The following is a 23,577-nucleotide window of genomic DNA, read 5'->3' as shown; positions in this document are numbered from 1 at the left end:
AAGGATTCACATTAGTGAATACGATCTCCCTTTAGCTATGGAAACTGCAGAGGATGCACTGTCTTGGCAAAGGAGGTCTAGAGCGGGCCAGAGCTCTGCAACAGGAGACCGCAGAGCGGGCTGGGCACCTGCGGCTGGGCATACAGGCTTAGTGCATGCTGAGGGTTTATGTCACCGAGAGGGGTGTCTTGGAACTCCTATGTCTATTCAGTGCTCCCTGCTGGTATTTATTATTTACTTCCTTGGGCAGGATTAGGGTCAGGCCTGCAAGCACTTGTTGGTCTAGCAAGCTACAGGAGGTTTTGTACCCTCAGGGGGAAGATGCATGTGCTGGGTGAGGCTGCCTTCAGCAGAATAATGACCACCCCTCGTCCAAATGAGAAGTGACATTTCAAAGCAGCAGCTTGCAAAAAACCCTCAGCTGCTGATCGCACACGTTCTTCCCTTAGAAAACACCCATCCGGCTGGAGGAAGAAGACGCGGAGCAAATAAATTCAGATGTTTTATTCTGTAAAGCACATATGCACATACTTCAAACACGGAAAATTAATCTGGAAGTGAATGCCATAACAGATCAGCTACTGACCATCATGCAGCAAGAGGTGAAATGGACCCACTGGCCCTCAGGACCCCACAGTGCCTGCAGGAAGGGTGAAAACCCAGGAAGCTGAAGCCCTACACGCTGCCGAGGAAAACGCAACAGACATGGCAGGTGCCTCACGACAAGAAACACTTACAAATAGAATCAAAACTGATTCAAGTCATACAGTGAAAGGACAAAAGGAAAAAGGAAAGAGATCAATATGATCCGAAACAATCGTTTTAAGAGTAAGTTGCTGACCTTCTGCTGGCCCTCCAGTCCGAGATGCCTGAGGGTGAGCTGGTGCTCCTGCACGGGGCCGCCCTGAACAGCAAGCGCACTCCGTCTGTTGCACACTTCGAATCCTGAGGTCCACCAGCAAACTCTGGCTGAGCATTGAGCCTGGGAAGTGCCCAGATGGTGACAGGTCCCCTGGGCTTCCCGAGACTCGCTGGAGTCTCTTCAGGTCCTAGGCCTCTTCGTCCAGGCCCCCAGGCCTCCTCTCTCCCCTCAGCCTTCCTTTATAAACCTGATTGACTCTGCGTTTCTGTAAGATCTTTAAGAATTACTTGCTTAGGTGAATGTTGGATTTTAAAGTGTGTGTCCTGGCCTTGGGACAAGCCATCTGTCCAGGCATTTTTGGCACTTCCTTTCCTCACATCTAACAGTGTTGCCCCTCCCCTAGCTACAGATTCCAGCCACTCTCTGTCATTAAAACAAGGGTAACTAATATTAGCAACAAGCTGGATTGAACGAACCAGTGAAATTGGCTTTTTCACTGTTTTTCTCCTTTGATACCACTCTGCCAGCTATAAATCTATCCCTATAACTCTGCTTCATTGGGATTTTATTAATTCAATAGCAGCTTAATCTAAAATCTGATGGTCCTAATGATAATGACGTTTCTAGAGCCAAGCCACATGGCTCTTTCTCAATCTTGTCTCTTAAGGGTCTCAAAGTCTCTAAGGAGAAAACTAAATTAACAAGTTAGCCATGCATCGTGTAAGCAACTCGTATCATACATAGAAACTGGATAGACAAGTACGATTACTGCACTTGAAACATACTAAAAGGAAAAAGAAAAATACTAACATATCAAGTTACTATGGTGATTATTTTAACAATCTTCAATAAAAGCACGCAACTGTTTTCTATTCAAAAATGCCTGGGATAAAATGTTCTAGGCCAATGTATTTCAGAATGCAGGAACTAATCCTAATTTAAAACAGACTACAAACCTAGAGTTAAGGAAAGGAAGCACTCATGGTCATGTCCAATGTTTTCATTGCCCTTCTGTTATAACACTGCCTGGGAGAACACAGAAGTTATTAGTGACAATGAGCTATTAAGGCAAAAAGTTATTTTAAAAAAACAGTAAGAATACAAGAAAGGACTGGAAAAGATAATGTATGGTTTTGCTTAAATGAATAAGGATTAGAAAGAAAAAGAAACAGGGACTAGACAATCAAACAAAATGGTGTAAGAGGGCCGAGAGCAGTGGCTGACGCCTGGAATCCCAGGATTTTGGGAGGCCGAGGTGAGAGGATCATTTGAAGCTAGGAGTTCCAGACCAGCCTGGGCAACAGAGGGAGACTCTGTCTCTACAAAAAAATTTTAAAATTAGCCAGGCGCGCTGGCACACGCCTGTAGTCCCAGCTACTCAGGAGGCTAAAGTGGGAGGATTGCTTGAGCCCAGGAGTTGGAGGCTGCACTGAGCTAAGCTCCAGCCTGAGGGACAGAGCAAGACCCTGCCTCCCCCCTCCAAAAAAAAAGAAAAAGAAAAAAAGTTATAAGAAAAATGCTTTCAGTTTTCCCTGATAAATGGCAAATCAGAATTGCATTCCTTCAAATTTTGCAGGCATCGTTTTCGTAATTTTACTGATCTACTAGTTGCCATTTCCTTCTGAAGATATGTTAGTAGCATGAAAATAAAAGCAAAACAAAAGGGAGAAAATCCACCCACTCTTTAAAAAAGAAAGAAGAAATCCTTTCCTATTAGATAGAATCATTATTCTTTCTTTCCATACTGTCATCTGCATTCCAGAAAGCAGAAGAGCAAACAGTCACTCTAACTCTAGAGCCATTTACATTTTGAAGCCCTTTTGAGTGAAGAGGCGCTTTAACTTTGATAACAGAAGGGAGGGACAAGAGTGGACGACAAGACAGTAGAACCTCCTATGCCAGCTCCAACAAGACCAGGTTCCTGGTCATCCATGTGGAAAATGAAACTTAGATCTTTACCATGTATGTGACTTAAATATTTAACTTTTTAGTCAGGATAAAAGCACAAGTCTGTCCTAACTAGAGTAGTATTAAAATGTGACTATTTTATTTTTTCTTCATAAAGGAAAACAAAAAACAAAAAAACAAAAACAAAACAAAAAAAACTTAAGGTATGTTTCCTGCAAGCAAAATGGAGAAAAAGGTATTATTGTTGTTACTATGATTATTAAGCCACAAACACATAAAATCCACAAAATGGATTGGTGGCTTTGGAAATGCAATACCGTATCAAAGGTGCAGACTGTTTCAAATGTTCTCTACATATTGGGCTGAAACAAGAACCAAACCAAACTTCAACCCCATCAGCGACGCAATGCTCCTGTGACCTTGGTGAAAACATCGTCGTGACCAGCTAGATCCAGGAATCCTTCTCTAGAGACACGTGGAAACGTCCCATCAGGTAGGTCCTCAAGTCCAAGGTGGGGTTGAAGGGCTCTGGCTGTACCCAGGGCAAAGCACGTGCATTATTGGACCAATTTCTGAATAGATTTTTATAAATATGTACAAATCAGTTACAGGCACTTGAAATGTCTTTGGCTGGAATAACCCAACATCGCAAGATAATGTATTCACAGAGCATCCAGGCCCAGGCTGGGTTCAGCAGGCAAGGATTATGGTTCTCTCAGTCTCTCTCAAAAAACAAGGAGCTGTGGAATTAGGCTTCAGCCAAAGCCACCTGGAAGACAGCAAGCCAGGGAAACCAGTCAAAAAAGGGAAGCCTAGGTAACTCAGCCCCTACCCAAAGACCAGGATGCCACACTAATTGCACATATCAACCAGACAGTGAAGTTACTAAATCCCTAAAAAGAAAATCTCACCTAGGAAGAAATTACTAGAAATCTCAAAGTCTCCTGCAAGACGCGGCCCATCTGGAACCACTGTGCGGAGACAGAATTAACTGGTTTTTGTTTTTTTGAGACACGGTCTCGCTCTGTTGTCCAGGCTGGAGTGCAGTGGTGCAATCGTAGGTTACTGCAGCTTCCAACTTCTGGGCTCAAGCAATTCTCCTTCCTCAACCTCCCCAGTAGCTGGGAATACAGGCATGCACCATTACATCTGGCTAATTTTTTAACTGTTAGTAGAGAAGGGTTCTCACTATGTTGCCCAGGCTGGTCTTGAACTCGTGGGCTCAAGTGATCCTTCTGCCTCAGCCTCCTAAAAGTCCTGGGATTACAGGTCCACCTAGCTGAGGTAACTGTCTTTAAACCTTGATAAGCATTCTGTTAGAAGACTTCTTATGCTGATGGAACTACAGAGGAGGCAGCTACCCAGAGTCAGTAGTGCTCCAGTGGAGACTTGAGAACAACTGCCAAGTCACTCCCTTTAATAGCAACAGAGGCTTGGGTATATGATTAAAAATCCAACAACATAATTTAGGTTGAGAGTAAAGACACTTCTAATGAAGACAGAAACTACCGCTGGCCTTCTGTAATTGTGGGTTTCATATCCACAGATTCAACCAAAAATACACAAAAGAGGGCTGGGCATGGTAGCTCACACCTGTAATCACCTGTAATCTTTGAGAGGCCAATGTGGGTGGATTGCTTGAGCCCAGGAATTCAAGACCAGCCTAGGCAATGTGGCGAAACCCTGTCTTTTCAAAAAATACAAAAATTAACCAGGTGTGGTGATGCATGCCTGTGGTCCCAGCTACTCAGGAGGTTGACGATCGCTTGAGCCTGGGAGGTCAAGGCTGCAGTGAACTATGATTGAGTCATGAGCTACGATCGCACCACTCTACTCCAGCCTGGGTGACAAAGTGAGACCCTGTCTCAAAAAAAAAAAAAAAAAAAATTAAAAAAGCAAAAATACTCAAAAGAAAAAAAACCAATACATAAGAATACAACAATAAAAATAACACAAGTTTTAAAAATACACTGTAACAACTATTTACATAGTATTTACATTGTATTAGGTATTATAAGTAACCTAGAAGCTGGGCCCAGTGGCTCACGCCTGTGATCCCAGCACTTTGGGAGGCCAAGGCAGGTGGATCACTTGATAACAGCAGTTCGAGACTAGCCTGGACAACATGGTGAAACCCTGTATCTACTAAAAATACAAAAATTAGCTGAGTGTGGTGGCACATGCCTGTAATCCCAGCTACTCTCGAGGCTGAGGCAAGAGAATCACTTGAGCCCAGGAGGCAGAGGTTGCAGTGAGCCAAGATCGTGCCACAGCACTCCAGCCTTGGTGACAGAGCAAAACTCTCTCAAAAAAAAAAAAAAAAAAAAAAAAGAAAGTAATCTAGAGATTAACGTTACAGAGGATGAGCTGGGCACAGTGGCTCACACCTGTAATTCCAGCACTTTGGGAGGCCAAGGCGGGTGGATCACTTGAGGTCAGGAGTTTGAGACCAGCCTGGCCAACATGGTGAGACCCGGTCTCTACTAAAAATGCAAAAACTTAGTGGGACGCGGTGGCTTGCGACTGTAATCCCAGCTCCTCGGGAGGCTGAGGTGGGAGAACTGCTTGAACCTGGGAGGCGGAGGCTGCAGTGAGCCAAGATAGTGCCACTGCACTCCAGCCTGGGAGACAGAGCGAGACTCCATCTCAAAAAAAAAAGTTACAGAGGATGTGCAGAGGTCATATGCAAATACTGTACCATTTTACAGAAGGGATTTGGACATTCATGAATTTCGATATCCACCAGGGTCCTGGAACCAATCCTCCTCGGATACCAAGGGATGACTGTCATTTCTTTAGACGAAAGGTGCCACCCACAATAAATAGAATAAGGATAACTGGGACTTTCTGTATACAGAGACCTCTAGTAAAATGCTGGCCCGGACCCCATCCACCGCTCACCTTCTCGGGACAAAATTCAGGATTGCTCTGACGCAATTTGCTAGGTCTGCCCTTGATAACAGCATAGCAAAACATTGTTATCACCATCACAAAGAGGAAGTAACTGGTGTGCATGAGATGCAAATTTATTAATGAACGGTCATCCTAAATAAAGAAGAGAAAAAAAATCAGAAACATCTGCTCTGAGTGACTGAAAGGTTTTAATGCTGGGTTTTGAGAGACAGGATTGACAGCCTCCAGACTTGCCACAACTTTTCTTCTTAAGCTGCAAGAGGAGGTTTCTCCTTTTGCCTCCTAAATGACCAAAGCTGGGTCTCATTAAGTGAAGACATGGTGCTCCCGAGCCTCTGTTGGAGAGCACCACGCCTTCCTAGCGCTGTCCTCTGCCCTGCCTTCTGCACCCCCACACTGCCTGAACCCTGCCCCTCCAGCAGGCTTCCTCCCCTGCAAATGCTGCAGACACTCCATCTTTAAGCCCCACTCCTTTCTGGACACATCCTCGTCACAAGACTGCCCTCAGGTTGCATGGCTGACAGCCGAGGCTGCATTCCTAACTCCTGACTATGCCCCCACCAGGAAGGCCTCGGCACCTCACCCCTCCCCAGGGGTCACGCCCTTCCTCCTGCTTTTCTCTATTTCCCTAAGTCCTTGGATGAAAATGCTGAGATCATCCGTGATTCACTACCCTTTGACCTCCCACATGCAGTCAATTCCCAGACCCTGCAAGTTACTAAAGGGACCCCAGACATGGTTCCATTCCTTTACCCTCTAGTATCTCCAGGCCTCAGGACAGCTCTGGGCTCCCCCAGGTCATTTATAACATAGCGGGGCAGCTCAGTCTTCTCAACACACTGCTTTACCAACACCCACGCCCCAAACACAGGCAGGGACTGCCCTTGGCCAGGCACTAAGGGCCTCAGCCCACCATCCAGCCTGACCTCCATAGCTGGCTCCTGCAGGACCCTGGCCTACAAATGAGCCCCAGAAAAGGGCAAAGGTCGGGCATAGTGGCTCATGCCTATAATCCCAGCACTTTGGGAGGCTGAGGTGGGAGGATCACCTGAAGTCAGCAGTTCAACACCAACCTGGCCAACATGTCGAAACCTTATCTCTACCAAAAATACAAAAATTAGCTGGGCGTGTTGGCAGGTGCCTGTAATCCCAGCTACTTAGAATCACTTCAATCCAGGAGGCAGAGGTTGCAACGAACCGAGATTGTGCCACTGCACTCCAGCCTGGGTGACAGAGAAAGACTCAATCTCAAAAAATAAAAATAAAAAAAAATTAAAATAAAGAAAAAAAGAAAAGGGCAAAGGGCCAGGCCAAAAGAAGAGAGATCCAGCTAACACACACTGCCAGAAAGGAACATATTTATAAAATATCAAAGCAGTGTTAAAAAGTGGGCTTGGGCCAGGTGCAGCGGCTCATACCTGTCATCCCAGAAACTTTGGAGGCCAAGGCAGGAGGATCGCTTGAGACCAGGGGTTCAAGACCAGCCTGGGCAACACAGCAAGACCCCCGTCTCTACAAAAAGTTTAAAAATTATCCCGGCATGGTGACATGCACCTGTAGTCCCAGCCACTTGGGAAGCTTGAGCCCAGGAGGCTGAAGCTGCAGTGAGCTATGATTGCGCCACTAGACCCCAATCTGGGCGACAGAGCAAGATCCTGTCTCTAAAAAAGTAAGTGGGCTCAAGTCTAAGTAGGAAGCTGAGCTAGCAGCACACAGCTACTAGATGAGATAGGTAAGTATTTTGTTCCCCTTGCCTCTTGGTTAAGTTAAATCCTATTCAGGCCTCACTCTCTAGCCGAAGATTCATCTCCTCCTACTACTCCCTTCTATCTTTCAGAACTCTAAGCAGCACTATTTCTTGTTCACACGGACACTAACTAGATAGTCTTCTATGAACGTCTGTGAACATCCCTCTAAGATAATATTAATAGAAGGATCCCTTGTAACCCCCCCCAGGGATTAGGCAGTTGCTCAAGAAATAACTGCTGCTGAACAACAGAGAAAATGAAGAGAAAAACCAGATTTTTCTTAACCAATGGGTAACATGTTTTTCCAAGCATCCACCACTCCGCCTAGTGTCCTAACTCACCTGGAAATCTAAAGTGGCAGAGGATACGCTTACCCAGGGAAGTCAGCAGGGCCTACACCAACGGTTGCAGCACATGCGCACACATGTGCATATGCATGCACGCACACACACACACACAATTTTTCTCACTTACATCTGGAACAATCACTGTAAGCTTGGGATTTAAAGCATGATAGACTTTTCCAATGGCCCCCTTATAACACCAGAAAGGATTGTAATCTTGGGCGTATTTTGTGTTGGCATCTCTGGCAGTTGTGAAGATCTTGTACCAGAGCGTGGCGTTGCTGTACGTGTCAGGAACACAGTGCGGTGGCTGTCTGCAGGAGAAGAGGAGGAGGAAAGACACGTGCTCAGTGGCCTGAGTCATTCACTTGTGTCACCCCCACAGCAGCTGGTAAAACACTGAACACGGCAACACACATGGAAAGGAAAAATGTAACTTACACGTTCATGCTTCTTTGAGATAAATACCATTATATTTTAGTTTGAGGGTCTTTTTTAAAAAATAAAAATATAACAGAAAAATAAATAGGTGCCTGACATTTAGGAGTTTGGGTGTTGGATTTTTGCCTTCAGAATTCAGCCTACAGTCCTCTCACATGTGATGCAAAGCACATAAGCTCCTTTTAAGCCTATCTTCTCAAATGAGCTAAACTCTTAGTATATTAGTCCTTTCTCATGCTGCTGATAAAGACATACCCGGGACTGGGTTATTTATAAAGGAAACAGGCTTAATTGACTCACAGTTCAGCATGGTCAGGGAAGCCTCAGGAAACTTACAAGCATGGCGGAAGTGGAAGCAAACACATCCTTCTTCACATGGCGGCAGCAAAGAGAAGTGCCAAATAAAAGGTGGAAAACCCCTTATAAAACCATCATATCTCATGGGAACTCTCTTACTATGAGAACAGCAGCATGGGGGTAACAATCTCCAGGATTCAATTACCTCCCACTGGGTCCCTCCCATGACACATGAGGATTATGGGAACTACAATTCAAAACGAGATTTGGGTGGGGAGACAGCCAAACTATATCATCTTTTTTTTTTTTTTTGAGACGGAGTCTTGCTCTGTTGCCCAGGCCGGTGTGACCTCGGCTCACTGAAACCTCCACCTCCCATGTTGAACTGATTCTCCTGCCTCAGCCTCTCAAGTAGCTGGGATTACAGGTGTGAGCCATTGCGCCCAGCCCAAAGCATATCACTTAGTTACAACTGGAAGCTTTACCTACAAAATTCTATATCAGTCACTGCAACACAAAGTAATGTTTAACTTAATCTGATCTTGTCCTACAAACCTCCAAATGTCTAAAATAGACAAATCCTGAGATAATTCTTATTTAAAAAGGATTCACCATAGAATTATTTTAAATAGGCTATATCTTATGTATTTCACCTATTTATTTATAGATAATTATCTCCTTTATAGAGACAGGAGAGACCAAAAAAAACCAACAACAAAAAAAACCTAAAATGCAAAGCAGTAACACTGAATGCTGCTCAAAAACACTGAAGGAAAAGCTTCAAAAACCTTAATTGTTTAATGGAAAATAAAGTTCAATTTATATTTGATTTTAAAACTAATTTTCAAATTCGCAGGTAAAATTAAAGTAACTGTTTAATGGGAAATGATTTAAAATGTTAGATTTTAAAATTAGTTAATTAACAGAAAATAAGTTTTGATTTATACTTGATTTAAAACTAAAATCAAGATAAACTAAAATCAACGATTTTAAAATATCTTTCTGGATAATGGAGATGAACAAAACCTTTATCTTTGTTTTATTTGATTTATTTATTTTTTTGAGACAGAGTCTTGCTGTTGCCCAGGCTGAAGTGCAGTGGCGCGATCTCAGCTCACTGCAACCTCTGCCTCCCTGCTTTAGCCTCTGAGTAGCTGGGATTACAGACATGTGCCATCATGCCTGGCTAATTTTTATATTTTTAGTAGAGATGGGGTTTCACTATGTTGGCCAGGCTGGTCTTGAACTCCTGACCTCAGGTGATCTGCCCACCTTGGCCTCCCAAAGTGCTGGGATTATAGGCATGAGACACCGCACCTGGCTGAAAACCTTTATCTTTAGAGAGCCTCTTTTCTTTTTTCTTTTTCTTTCTTTTTTTTTTTTTTTAAATAGAGACAGGGTCTCCCTATATGTTGTCCAGGCTGGTCTTGAACTCCGGGGCTCAAGTGATCCTCCCACCTCAGCCTTCCACAGTGCTGGGATCGCAGGCCTGAGCCACGGCACCCGGCCACAGTGAGCCTCTTTTCTGTAACTTGCTGCTTCTACTCCTGCGGGAAAGACAGCCTATGAATGTCCAACAACAGCCAGGTGCTTTTACTGCCTCGAGGGGGCACTAACTTTCTGATTTTATATGCAGAAGTTCTATCTTTAGAATTCCAAATTAAATAATCCTTTAGACAAATTAAATAATCCTTTAGATAGGTCCGAGTAGAGATAATTCTATAAAGAAATGTGAAGTGAGCCATCCTGAGAATTTACAGCTGAAGCAGCCCAGCCGTACTCACGGCAAGTGGAGCTTGTTACGCACGTTCATCAGGTGCCGGGTACACTTACACAGTGACGGGGAACACCCCAGGGCTGGCCGTGAGGGTCATGCAGGCTGTGAATACCACCTGCTCACAGTGACCGTGGAGGGCGCAGTCATCTGAGCTCCACGCTGTAGGCAGGGTGAAGGTGATGTTTATCTCCTCGTGGGCTTCCCTGCCTATGAAAGAGAAATCATTTTTTTATAAAGTCAAGAACCACGTACTTGTCATTCTCTGGGATACAAATAAATCCTGAAATCAAACCCACACAGGAATCATCTATCAGCCCAGGCACCTGCCTTTGTGGGATCTGAGGAAGAAGAGCAGTCCTGACCCTGACCATGAGTCCTACTCAACTCAGAGCCACGAAGCAGCGAAGGAAGTGGCCACTTTCCAGTACATGGCCTGGAGATGCCAAACCAGACCTCGGGCAGATCAGAGATGAAAAGCTCGGGCTGGGTGAATTATCCCCAGCATTTCTGCACAGCTGTCTAGCCATTTTCAAACATCTTTTATATGTATTATTTCACTTAAAATTTACTACTCTCCCATGAACATGACTGAAGAAGTGCAGCTGTTCCCCTTTTACATATGAACAAACAGAGGTCAGAGGGTTTCAGAGTTAAGAAAGGCAAGTGATGAAGCTTAAACTAAAACCAACGTATTGCCAGGCACAGTGGTTCACATCTGTAGTCCCAGCACTTTGACTTTAGAAGGCTGAGGCAGGAGGATTGCTTGAGGCCGGGAATTCACGACCAGCCTGAACATGACAGCAAGATTCTGTCTCTACAAAAAAGTTTTAAAAATCAGCCAGGTGTACTGGTGCACACCTGTGGTCCCAGGTACTAGGGAGGATCACTTGAGCCCAGGAGTTTGAGGCTGCAGTGAGCTATGATCACACCACTGCACTCTAGCCTGGCGACAGATCAAGACCCAGTCTCAAAATTAAAATAAAATTTTAAATAAAAATTAAATTAAAATAAAAAATTAAAATATTAAAATAAAATTAAAATTAAAAAATAGCCAAGCGTGGTGGCTCATGCCTGTAATCCCAGCACTTTGGGAGGCTGAGGCGGGCGGATCATTTGAAGTCAGAAGTTCAAGACCAGCCTGGCCAACATGGTAAAATCCTGTCTCCACTAAAAATACAAAATTAGCTGGGCATGGTGTCACGAACCTATAATCCCAGCTACGCGGGAGTCTGAGGCAGAACAGTCGCTTGAACCCGGGAGACAGAGGTTGCAGTGAGCCAAGATTGTGCCACTGCACTCCAACCTGGGCGACAGAGTGAGACTCCATCTCAAAATAACAACAAAAAATCCCGAAGGTGTCCTTATGCCATGCCATAAGCAACAGGTCCACTTGCTACATGGAAAACCCAGAAGTCACCCATACCTTGATTATTATGGGAATATTCTCACCTCTAACAGCCAATAGGAGGCTGGTGGGCACTTAAATTCCTTGAAGGACTTTTTATTTGTTTCTTGTTTTTTTTTTTTTTTTTTTTTGAGACAGGGTCTCACTCTATTGCCCAGGCTGGAGTACAGTGGTACAATCTTAGCTCACTGTAGCCTCGACCTCCCAGGTTCAAGCAATCCTCCCACCTCAGCCTCACAAGTAGCTGGGACTACAGGTGCACGCCACAACACCTGGTTAATTTTTTTAATTTTTTCATAAAGACAGGTGTTTGCTATGTGCCCAGGCTGGGCTTCAACACCTGAGCTCAAGCAATCTTCCTGCCTCAGCCTCTCAATGTGCTGGGATTACAGGCATGAGCCACTGCATCTAGCCTAAGCAATTTTTAAAAAGCCTTTTGGTAACCAAAGAACAAAAGGTTATTCTTCCAAGGCCCAGGTGTCCCATATGAAGCCTTTCCTGATTATTCCAGCTTCCACTGCCTTCTAGCCCTTCTCCTGCAACACTTACAGTCTGTCATGGGTTTAGTACTGGTCAAAGGGCAGTGCTCCACATTTTATAAGTATGTATTTTTTCATATCCCTTATCAAGCACTTACGTAGCATTTCCTTTGTGGCAGGAACTATTGTAAGTGCTTGATAAACATTAACTCACGTTTATCTTTGTCTCTTCCATAACCCCAAAATTCCAAAAGGAAGAGACCAAATGTTAGGCCTTTTTTTTTTTTGAGGTGAAGTCTCACTCTGTTGCCTAGACTGGAGTGCAGTGGCATGATCTTGGCTCACTGCAGCCTCCGCCTCCAGGGTTCAAGTGATTCTCCCACCTCAGCCTCCAGAGTGGCTGGGATCACGGGCGCCTGCCACCACGCCTGGCTAATTTTTTTGCATTTTTAGTAGAGATGGGGTTTCACCATGTTGGCCAGACTGGTCTTGAACTCCTGACCTCAAGTGATCCACCCACCTCGGCCTCCCAAAGTGCTGGGATTACAGGCGTGAGCCACTGCGCACGGGCCCATCTTAGGCATTGTCTTTTCTTTTCTTTTTTTGAGATGGAGTCTCGCTCTGTCGCCCAGGCTGGAGTGCAGTGGTGCAATCTCGGCTCACCGCAACCTCCACGTCTTGGGTTCAAACAATTCTCCTGCCTCAGCCTCCTGAGTAGCTGGGACTACAAGTGCGCACCACCATGCCTGCATGCCCAGCTGACTTCTTTTTTTTTTTTTTTGGAGAGAGAGTCTCCCTCTGTCGCCCAGGCTGGAGCACAGTGGCATGAATCTCAGCTCACTGCAACCTCTGCCTCCTGGGTTCAAGCTATTCTCCTGCCTCAGCCACCCGAGTAGCTGGGACTACAGGTGCCTGCCACCACGCCCGGCTAATTTTTGTATTTTTAGTAGAGACGGGGTTTTGCCATATTGGCCAGGCTGGTCTCAAACTCTTGACCTTGTGATCTGCCCACCTTGGCCTCCCAAAGTGCTCGGATTACAGGCGTGAGCCACCGCGCCCGGCCAATTTTTTGTATTTTAGTAGTGATGGGGTTTCACCATGTTGCCCACGCTGGTCTCAAACTCCCGAGCTCAGGCAATCCACCCACCTCGGCCTCCCAAAGTGCTGGGATTACATGCATGAGCTACTGCACCCAGCCATCTTAGTCATTTTCTAGTTCTTCCCAGCAGCTTAGCACAGTGCCAGACTAACAATGGCCATTAAAAAATATGTAAACTAATAGCAATAGAAGATGTGTAGTAAGTAATGAAAACTCCAACAGGACAAGCCTGAATTAAAATTACATGTTTGTAAATATTAGACAGGCCTTAACAGTTTTCTCACAGTTTCTCATTCCTACAGGCTTTTGAGAAACTACTTCTAGCCAGGTACTTTACCATGTAACGATGGAACAGAAATGGTTCATGTAGTTCAAACTCAACAAAAAAAAGACACGCGCAAGACTACAATCTAGTACAATATAGTCAGTAAAAACATACACGGTGCATCCTCTTTTTGTAACAGTGGTTGCCTAAGGAGCCTGAGTGGAGAGTGGCTACTGCATACCTGAAAGTCCAATCTGATGCCCTAAGATGGTTGAGTACAGATGGGTGACGTTGCGGGAATACCCTCCGAAGGGTTTCAGTGGGTCCAGGGTTAGGGTGATTGAGACTGAGATATTCACCGGGCCCGAGTCCTCCAGGGCCTGGGGGGACTGGGTGGAAGCTCGGGCCTGCCCGCTGGTCATTGTACTTTCCGGAGTTGTGGTGTCGTTTGTGAGATGCTTGAGGGTTTCATTCTCTGATACACACAAGTCCAAATCATTGAACCGTAGCAGAAAAGTATTCCAATCCTTTGGGAAAGTGAAAGAAAGAGAAATGGGTGTTAAGCAGCGCCTGTCTCCCACTGCGGGAATACAGGTAAGACCCCAGTGTGGCACCGCAGCACATCAGCAAACTACAATTCAGAGCTGATCATTTAAGATCATGACAACTCGGCCACCACCCTCTTCACAGGCAGCATGATGTGGCTTTCCTAATCACTTTTATATTCACAACCTAAAATATGAACTCTTCACTGGCACAAGATACTCAATAAACTGTGAAATCAAATCAATTTATTCAAGAAAATCTTTTTAAAAAATCCAGCATATTACACTTAGAGAAAATGATCTAGCCTCAGAACCAAACTTGAAAAGAACGCTTGAAGAAAAGCATTAATCCAAACTCATTTTGCAACTACAATTCTTTTCTTTAAATAAAGTCACCTTAAAATAATGTCCCAAAAGGTCAATTCCATACACCTTGCTCTCTTTCTCTAGAACACAAAACAGCAGTGAATACTAATACTCATTTGGGACACTGCCCCCCTTCTTATGGACTTTTGATGACACCTTAGAGCAGCAACGATTTCAAAAAGGAAGGGGCCAGGTACGGTGGCTCGCACCTGTAATCCCAGCACTTTGGGAGGCCAAGGTGGGTGGATCATTTGAGGTCAGGAGTTCGAGACCAGCCTGAGCAACATGGTGAAACCACGTCTCTACTAAAAATACAATAATTAGCCGGGTGTGGTGGTGTGTGCCTGTAATCCCACCTACTTGGGAGGCTGAGGCAGGAGAATCGCTTGAACCTGGGAGGTGGAGGTTGCAGTGAGAGGAGATCGTGCCACTGCACTCCACCCTGGGCGACACAGTGAGACTCTGTCTCAAAAAAAAAAAAAAAAAAAGCCATCTGAGGCCAGGTACGGTAGTTCACGCCTGTAATCCCAGCACTTTGGGAGGCCAAGCAGGGTGGATCACTTGAGGCCAGGAGTTCGAGACCAGCATGGATAACATGGTGAAACCTTGTCTCTACTAAAAATACAAAAATTAGCTGGACATGGTGGCGCATGCCTGTAATCCCAGCTACTTGGAAGGCTGAGGCACGAAAATCGTTTGAAGGGGGGCAGAGGCTGAAGTGAGCCAAGATCGCGCCACTGAAGTCCAGCCTCAGCCTGGGTGTCAGAGTGACACTCCACCTCAAAAAAAAAAAAAAGTCATCTGAGCAACCCCTACCCAGCCCAGTAAGTCTACCCTTACAGCATCAGTTTAACTGTATGTGACATTTAGTAAGACTGCAACTGGATCTATCAAATTACATTTTCCCTAACACCTACAAACTCAACTGACCATTCTAGTACATTAGGGTTGAAAATGAACATTCTAGTCTCAGTCCTTCATAATCCTAGACATGAAGAAACTGAGGCCCAGGGCAAATTAGGGACTCTCCAATTCTAGTTCAAGGTAAAATCAGCATTAAGTTCTGATTCACAGCCCCAAATGTTTCCCATACACCACTGCCTTTCCTACAACCTAGGATCCTCATTTGAAAACAAAAATCACGAAACTAATCATAACCAAAGTTCCGCAGCATCTCAACAATGCGTTCCTACAGAGCTGGAGTCCACGTTGAACAGCTGGCTAAAGCCAATGCCAGGCCTAATTTGGATTATTAAGGGCTAATTATCCAGGCTTCAGTGCAACCACTGGCCTTGGCCAAGTGCTCAACATGGACTCAAGCTCTGCGGGAAAGAAATGGCAGGAGGCTGTGCAGCTTTAGTTTTGAGTAGAATATTCATTTTCAGCCCTGATGTGGGGGCAGCCTGTTTTCACAACCTTTAAAGATTGAGGCAGGGTCAGAAAAGAGAGAGAATTAAGCCAGCCAGTATGTCTCTTAGTAATAAACTCTTTGAAAGGGTTACATGGTAGAAATAGCTAAAACTCGTTACTTGAACTGTGCTAGAAAGAGCTCACATGTGTAGGCGGTTCCTTTTGCCAAGATCACTTAAGATCTAGAATGCCCTAGAGCATGAGAGAAAGCTACGATCTCAATTACATGGAACACAACTCTCCTCTCCATTGCAAGGCACACTCAATGCGGCAACCACGCACTCCCAGCCCCACTCCCACCCCCACCTCCACCCACCAACAAACCCAAGAAGAAGGAAATAGAATAAGAGAAGGCACCCAAGGAATCTACTAAAAGACAGGAATTAGGCTGGATGCGGTGGCTCACACCGGTAATCCCAGCACTTGGGGAGGCCGAGATGGGTGGATCACCTGAGGTCAGGAGTTCGAGACCAGCCTGGCCAACGTGGCGAAACCCCGTCTCTACTAAAAAGACAAAAATTAGCCAGACGTGGTGGCAGGCACCTGTAATCCCAGCTACTCAGGAGGCTGAGGCAGGAGAATCGCTTGAGCCCGGGAGGTGGAAGTTGCAGTGAGCTGAGAGTACGCCACTGCACTCCAGACTAGGTGACGGAGCGAGACTCCGTCTCAAAAAACAAAAAACAAATATATTTGGAAATTAGGTCCTGTTTTTGAATTTCTTTAGGATTCCTTCTTATCTCATGAAAAAAACCATTAGTATAGCTGATAAAACTCCATGATGATATGTGGTTTTAAAATACCAAATGTTCAGTTTTCTAAAACAGCAATGAACCCATTTGAGATGGAATATTACAGAGGTGAGGTCTCCAGCTTTTTGACACAGATCATTTTACAAATGTACTCTCCAAAGTGCATGTTTCACTGCTAAAATAGTCTAACTGAAACTGGTAGCATATTTAAATCGAACAATACCCATCTAGGTATTTCCTAACAAAGTGAGTCCTGGGGAGATGGAAAACAGAAAATTCTGAATAAATACTGATTTTTCTCACTAGGAGAGAAAGGCCAAAACCCAAGAAAGCTATATGGCAAGCCACAGGGTGTTGCCCCACTGCACAAGGACCAGCCAGCCCGGGAGAAGTCAGAGCATACTATACCTCTGCCATTTCTGGGGATTTAATCTCCTTGATTTTGAAGAAGTAGCCCAGGGTCAGGAAAGCTATGGCCATGGCGCTTACGCTGATCATGAAGACCACCAGGGGAGGCCGACTGCTGATGTACACCTTCAGGTTCTCCAGGGGGTTGATGCTGAACATTATTCTGATCAGCTCCACCTGAAAGAAATGAATCAGAAGCTTCAAGGACTGACTTGCCAACAGGAAAGCTATGATTCTTTTGTTTCCTTTTGAGGTGTTGGGGGGTGAGCTGGGTGGGATGGGCACTCATTACTGAATTTGAGAAATGTCGGATCATAACTTCATTCAAAAGACTAGAAGGAAGAAACACTAAATGTTAACTGCCATTACCTCAAAGTGGCAGGATCCTGAATACATATTCTCTTTCAGTTTGAATCTTCTAAATATTGTGTGTGTGTGTGTGTGTGTGTGTGTGTGTGTGTGTTTTAAGAAACAGGGTCTCTCGTTCTGTCACCCAGGCTAGAGTGCAGTGGCGTGATCATAGCTCACGGCAGCCTTGAACTCCTAGGCTTAAGCTATCCTCCCACCTCAGCCTCCCGAGTAGCCAGGACTAAAGGTGTGTACCACTATGCCCGGCTAATTTTTTTTTTTCTTTTTTTTTTTTTTTGAGACGGAGTCTCACTCTGTGACCCAGGCTGGAGCAATGGTGTAGTCTTGGCTCACTGCAACCTCTGCCTCCTGGGTTCAAGTGATTCTCCCACGTCAGCCTCCCAAGTAGCTGAGACTACAGGCATGTGCCGCCACACCCAGCTAATTTTTGTATTTTTAGTAGAGATGGGGTTTCACCATATTGGCCAGGCTAGTCTCGAACTCCTGACCTCGTAATCTGCCTGCCTTGGCCCCCCAAAGTGCTGGGATTACAGGCGTGAGCCACCGTGCCCGGCTAATTTATTACCTTTTAAGAGATGGGGTCTCGCTATGTTGCCCAGGCTGGTCTTGATCTCCTAGCCTCAAGCAATCCTCCTGCCTCAGCCTCCCAAAGTTCTGGGATTGCAAGTGTGAGTCACCGTACCCAGACTCAATCTTCTAAATATTCTATAATAAATACTGTTACTTCCGTATCACTTAAGAAAAGGTTTAGGTGGGTCAGTAATGTGACACAAATACACAACATGTACAGAAAGAAAGTGAGGATGCTCTCATTTCCTGCCACTGAAAAGCTGAATTCTATTTATTCGACATTCTGTCCTGCTCATTGCCATATGGCTCACAGCCATCCCAGCCCTGCTTAAAAGCTCCTAAGGCTTCTACCAGACCTAGGAGAGGTCGGCAATAGCTCCCTGTCATGGCCCACAGGGTTTTCAGGACTCAGAAGCCCTGCCAGTCTCCCTGACTGCATCACCATCCACTTCCCCTCCTCCCTCCTGGGCTTTGGCCACACTGGACTTGCTATTCTTCAGGATCATCTTGTCAATGTCTGCAAGGAAATCAGCTGGGACTGACAGGGACTGCACTGAATCTGTGGATCGCTTTGGGGAGTGCTGCTCTCTTAACAAACAACGTTGTCTGCTAGTCAAAGAGCCTTGCAGACCTTTCCATCTATTTAGCTTCCTTATTTGAATAATGTTTTCTGTTTTCAGTGTTAACGTTTGCACTTCTTTTATTAAGTTTATTCATAAGTATTTAATGCTTCCTGCCATTTTTGACCATGATGTAGCTGAAGAATTTTGTATCTGCCTGGATGCTTTCCCCAAACATTTCCACGTTTGCTCTTCTTAAAACGCACATCTATGGCTGGGCGCAGTGGCTCATGCTTGTAATCCCAGCACTTTGGGAGGCCGAGGCGGGTGGATCACTTGAGGTCAGGAGTTCGAGACCAGCCTGGCCAACATGGCAAAACCCCGCCTCTACTACAAATACAAAAATTAGCCAGGTATAGTGGTGCACACCTGTAATCCCAGCTACTAGGGAGGCTGAGGCAGGAGAATCACTTGAACCTGGGAGGTGGAGGTTGCAGTAAGACAGGATCACGCCACTGCACTCCAGCCTGAGGGACAGAATGAGACTGTCTCAATTAAAAAAAAAAATGCAAGTCTCTGTTTAATAGCCAGCTCCTCAGAGCACACCTTCCCTGGTCACCCTCAGCCCCTGCTTTATTTCCTTTATATTGTTTAGCATCAACCAAGAGCACAATTATTTTCCTACTTGTTTACTGTTTGTCATCCCTCATTTATGAGCCCAACGAGAGCGGAGATTTTGCACACCTTCCTTGGTCACCCTCAGCCCCTGCTTTATTTCCTTTATATTGTTTAGCATCAACCAAGAGCACAATTATTTTCCTACTTGTTTACTATCTGTCATCCCTCATTTATGAGCCCAGTGAGAGTGGAGATTTTGCCTGTCTTGTTCACAGCTACAGCCCTGGCCCCTGGCCCCTAGAACAGTAGCTGGCACACAATGAGCACTTATAAACACGAGCAAACTGCGACAACATTAGCAAAAAGCAATTTTTTAAAAAGTCTGTATCAGCGTTTAAATTTTAGAGACAAAAAGATGCATCAACAGCCCCTAAAAATCAACAGCAACACATTTTCCATGCCACTTTCACTCAACATTGTTTTTCTGACATCTCTGTTGATCTCTGTTGATCTAGTTCGTTGAATTTCACTGATGTATATATGTAATTGTTCTGTGGTTGAGTTATTCCAGTCTGAGGGGCCTAGCTGGGTTCCTGTTACTGTTTCACCCACCAAGCGCATTGCAACAGGTACAAGAGTGGCTGTAGTACAACAAAGTCACAGAGTAGGGCCTGTCTTCAACCTGATATTGTCAGACCACTCTCCAAGGAGATCAACCAGTTTACACTTCCCCAGCAGTGAAGGAGCCTGCTCCATTCCATGAGATTTGTGCCAACACTTGATTTCCTAAGGCATATTAATATGGTCCAAAAAGACAGATGTGAAATGATATCTCTATTATTTTAAATGGTATCTCCCTGAAACAAAGCATCTTTCCGCTTTTTTAATCAGCCATTTAGGCCCAATCTTAACTGAACTGCCTGAATCCTCTGGTAAGTTACTAATAGGGTGTTAGTCTATTTCTTATTGATGTTTAGAAATTCCTTTTGTGTTTTGGGTACTAAGCCTTTAACAGTTTTATATGTTACGTATAATTAATCCAAGTCTGGGTTTTCTTTAATATGGTTTATGGTATCTTTTGCCATATGAAAGGTTCTTGAGAAGCCAGGCACAGTGGCTCACGCCTGTAATCCCAGCACTTTGGGATGCCAAGGCAGGTGGATCACGAGGTCAGGAGTTCAAGACCAGCCTGGCCAATATGGTGAAACCCCGTCTCTATGAAAAATACAAAAAGTAGCTGGGCATGGTGGCATGTGCCTGTAGTCCCAGCTAGTTGGGAGGCTGAAGCAGGAGAATCAGTTGAACCCGGAGGGCGGAGGTGCAGCAAGTCGAGATCACACCACTGCACTTCAGCTTCGACGATAGAGCGAGACTCCATCTCAAAAGAAAACAAAAAGAAAAGAAAAAGAAAGGTTCTTGATATTTTTAATAGTATTAAGAAATAATTCACATACCATACAATTCACCCATTTAAAGTATACAATTCAATGATTTTTGGTATATTCACTGATTTGAACAACAACCCTCACTATCAATTTTCAAATGTTTTCACTGTCCTATAAAGAAAGCCCAACCTATAACAGATACATAAAAAATAAAAAGAAATTAAAACATACCACCAGAGAAAAATCACCTTCACTAAAATGAAGACAGGAAGGAAGGAAAGAAAGAAGACAAGACCACAAAACAACCAAAAAACAACTAACAAAATGGCAGGAGTAAATCCTTACTTATCAGTAACAACACTGAATGTAAATGGACTAAACTCTCCAATCAAAAGACACAGTGGCTGAATGAATAAAAAAACCAGATCCAACGATGTGTTGCCTACAAGAAACACACCCTACCTATAAAGACACACATCAAATGGAAATAAAGAAATAACCGGGCGCAGTGGCTCACACCTGTAATCTCAGCATTTTGGGAGGCTGAGGTGGGCAGATCACCTGAGGTCAGGAGTTCGAGACCAGCCTGACCAACAGTCAGTTTCTTTAGTAGAGAAACCCTGACTCTACTAAAAATACAAAAAATTAGCCAGGTGTGGTGGTGCATGCCTATAATCCCAGCTACTCGGGAGACTGAGGCAGGAGGATCACTTGAACCTGGGAGGCAGAGGTTGTGGTGAGCCAAGGTCGCGCCATTGCACTCCAGCCTGGGCAACAAGAGCAAAACTCCGTCTCAAAAAAAGAAAATAAAGAAATGGAAAAAGATATTCCATGCAAATGGAAACCAAAAAAGCGCAGAGCAGAAGTAGCTATATTTAATCAGACTAAATAGATTTCAAGACAAGAACTATAAAAAGAGACAAAGAAGGTCAAACGGTCAATTCAGCAAGATGATGTAACAATTATAAATATATATGTACCCAACACTGGAGCACCAAGATACATAAAGCAAATATTAGAACTAAAGGGAAAGACAGACCCCAGTACAATCATAGCTGGAGACTTCAACACTCTGCTTTCAGCATTGGACAGATCTAGACAGAAAACCAAGAAAGAAATGACTTAATCTGCACTACAGACCAAATGGACCTAACAGATCACATGGATCATTCCCAAAAATAGACCACGTTAGGCCACAGAACAAGTCTTAAAACATTAAAAAAAATACAAAATTATATCAAGTATCTTCTCTGACCACAATGGAATAAAACTAGAAATCAGTTACAAGAGGAATTCTGGAAACTATACAAACACATGGAAATTAAATAACATGCTCCTGGATGGCCAGTGGGTCAATCAAGAAATTAAGAAGGAAATTAAAAAGTGTCTTGAAACAAATGAAAATGAAAACACAACATACCAAAACCTATGGGATCCAGTGAAAGCAATACTAAGAGGAAAGTTTATAGCTATAAGCACCTACATAAAAAAGTAGAAAAACATCAAAAAAGCAACATGCAATGCATCTTAAAGAATTAGAAAAACAAGAGCAAACCAAACACAAAATTAGAAGAAATAATAAAGATCAGAGCAGAAATAAATAAATTTGAAACAAAAAAATATAAAAGATCAATGAAACAAAGAGTTGGTGTTTTGAACCAGATGAAGTCAGAAAAAAGAGAGACAAGATTCAAAGAAATAGTATCAGACATGAAAAAGGAGACATTAAACCAACATCACAGGACTTCAAAGGATCATTACAGGCTACCACGAGCAACTGCACACCGGCTGGAAAACCTAGAAGAAATGGATGAATTCCTATACACACACAACCTACCAAGACCTGATGGCTTCACTGCTGAATTCTACCAAACACTAAAAGAAGAACTAATACCAATCCTACGTAAACTATCTCAAAAAGCAGAAGAAGAGGGAGTACCTCCAAACTCATGCTAGGAGTCCAGTATCACCCTGATACCAAAACCAAAGATACATCAAAAAAAAAAGGAAAACTACAGGCAGATATCCCTGATGAAGATTGTTGTAAATCTCTTCCAAAACATACTGGCAAACCGAATTCAAAACATTAAAAAGATCATTCATCATGACCAAGTGGGATTTATCCCTTAGAAGCAAGGATGGTTCAACATATGCAGATAAATCAAAGCGATACATCATATCAGCAGAATAAAGGACAAAAACCATATGATCCATTCAACTGATGCTGAAAAAGCATTTGATAAAATTAAATATCTCTTCATGATACAAACCCTCAAAAAAACTGGGCTTAGAAGGATCATACCTCACACAATGAAAGCCATATACAACAGGCCCACAACTAGTATCACACTGAATGGTGAAAAACTGAAAGCATTTCCTCTAAGATCTGGAACATGAAAAGGATGCCCACTTTCACCACCGTAATTCAACAGAGTACTAGAAGTCCTAGATACAGCAATCAGACAAGAAATAAAGGGCATCCAAACTGGAAAGGAATAAAATAAATTATCCTTGTTTGCAGATGGTATGATCTTATATTTGGATAAATCTAAATACTCCATCAAAAAACTAGAACTGATAGACCAATTTTCAGTAAAGTTGCAGGACACAAAAACAACCTACAAAAATCAGTAGCATTTCTACGTGCCAATAGAGAGCAATCTAAAAAAGAAATCAAGAGGTCAGGCATGGTGGCTCATGCCTGTAATCCCAGCACTTTGGGAGGCCAAGGCAGGTGGATCACTTGAAGCCAGGAGTTCGAGACCAGCCTGGCCAACACGGTGAAACTCCATCTCTACTAAAAAAAATAAAAATTAGCTGGGCACGATGGTGTGCATCTATAATCCCAGTTACTCATGAGGCTGAGGCATGAGAATCCCTTGAACCTGGGAAGCAGAGGTTGTAGTGAGCCAACGTCGTGCCTCTGCACTCCAGCCTGCACAACAAAGTAAGACTCCGTTTCAAAAAAGTATAAAAACTATTTACATAGTACTTGCATTGCATTAGGTACTGTAATCTAGAGATGATTTAAAGTAAATGGGGCCAGACGCAGTGGCTCA

The 23,577-nt window shown here is 44.0% G+C and overlaps 1 protein-coding gene across 4 annotated transcripts in view, besides 3 other annotated features; it reads right to left on the bottom strand.

Moving 5' to 3' along the window:
- Positions 1-489: 489 nt before the first annotated feature.
- Positions 490-23,577, bottom strand: part of TMEM248 (transmembrane protein 248) — a 37,327-nt gene continuing 14,239 nt past the window's right edge. For all 4 annotated transcript variants that reach the window (NM_017994.5, XM_024446821.2, XM_024446820.2 and 1 more), the window contains exons 2-7: positions 17,017-17,193; positions 13,780-14,065; positions 10,347-10,497; positions 7,906-8,089; positions 5,672-5,815; positions 490-3,539 (exon numbers count right to left, since the gene is read on the bottom strand). In NM_017994.5, the coding sequence (NP_060464.1) occupies positions 3,519-3,539; positions 5,672-5,815; positions 7,906-8,089; positions 10,347-10,497; positions 13,780-14,065; positions 17,017-17,175 (945 nt within the window). In that variant the 5' untranslated portion in view covers positions 17,176-17,193 and the 3' untranslated portion in view covers positions 490-3,518. The remainder of the gene's footprint in view (positions 3,540-5,671; positions 5,816-7,905; positions 8,090-10,346; positions 10,498-13,779; positions 14,066-17,016; positions 17,194-23,577) is intronic.
- Positions 6,125-6,419: a silencer, noted in NCBI's record as "tiled region #14266; K562 Repressive non-DNase unmatched - State 14:Gen5'". NCBI's record gives its function as "represses a minimal TATA promoter and a strong SV40 promoter by Sharpr-MPRA in K562 cells {active_cell/tissue: K562}" and the evidence as "EXISTENCE:reporter gene assay evidence [ECO:0000049][PMID:27701403]".
- Positions 6,125-6,419: an enhancer, noted in NCBI's record as "tiled region #14266; HepG2 Activating non-DNase unmatched - State 15:Elon". NCBI's record gives its function as "activates a minimal TATA promoter and a strong SV40 promoter by Sharpr-MPRA in HepG2 cells {active_cell/tissue: HepG2}" and the evidence as "EXISTENCE:reporter gene assay evidence [ECO:0000049][PMID:27701403]".
- Positions 7,440-8,639: an enhancer, noted in NCBI's record as "CDK7 strongly-dependent group 2 enhancer chr7:66415389-66416588 (GRCh37/hg19 assembly coordinates)". NCBI's record gives its function as "activates an origin of replication core promoter dependent on BRD2, BRD4, P300/CBP, MED14 and CDK7 cofactors, with strong dependence on CDK7, by STARR-seq in HCT116 cells {active_cell/tissue: HCT116}" and the evidence as "EXISTENCE:reporter gene assay evidence [ECO:0000049][PMID:35650434]".

The sequence above is a fragment of the Homo sapiens genome, chromosome 7 (assembly GCF_000001405.40).
Source record: "Homo sapiens chromosome 7, GRCh38.p14 Primary Assembly".
NCBI classification, from domain to species: Eukaryota; Metazoa; Chordata; class Mammalia; order Primates; family Hominidae; genus Homo; species Homo sapiens.
The sequence above is the reverse complement of the archived record's forward strand: the minus strand, read 5'-3'. Positions and strand labels throughout refer to the sequence as shown.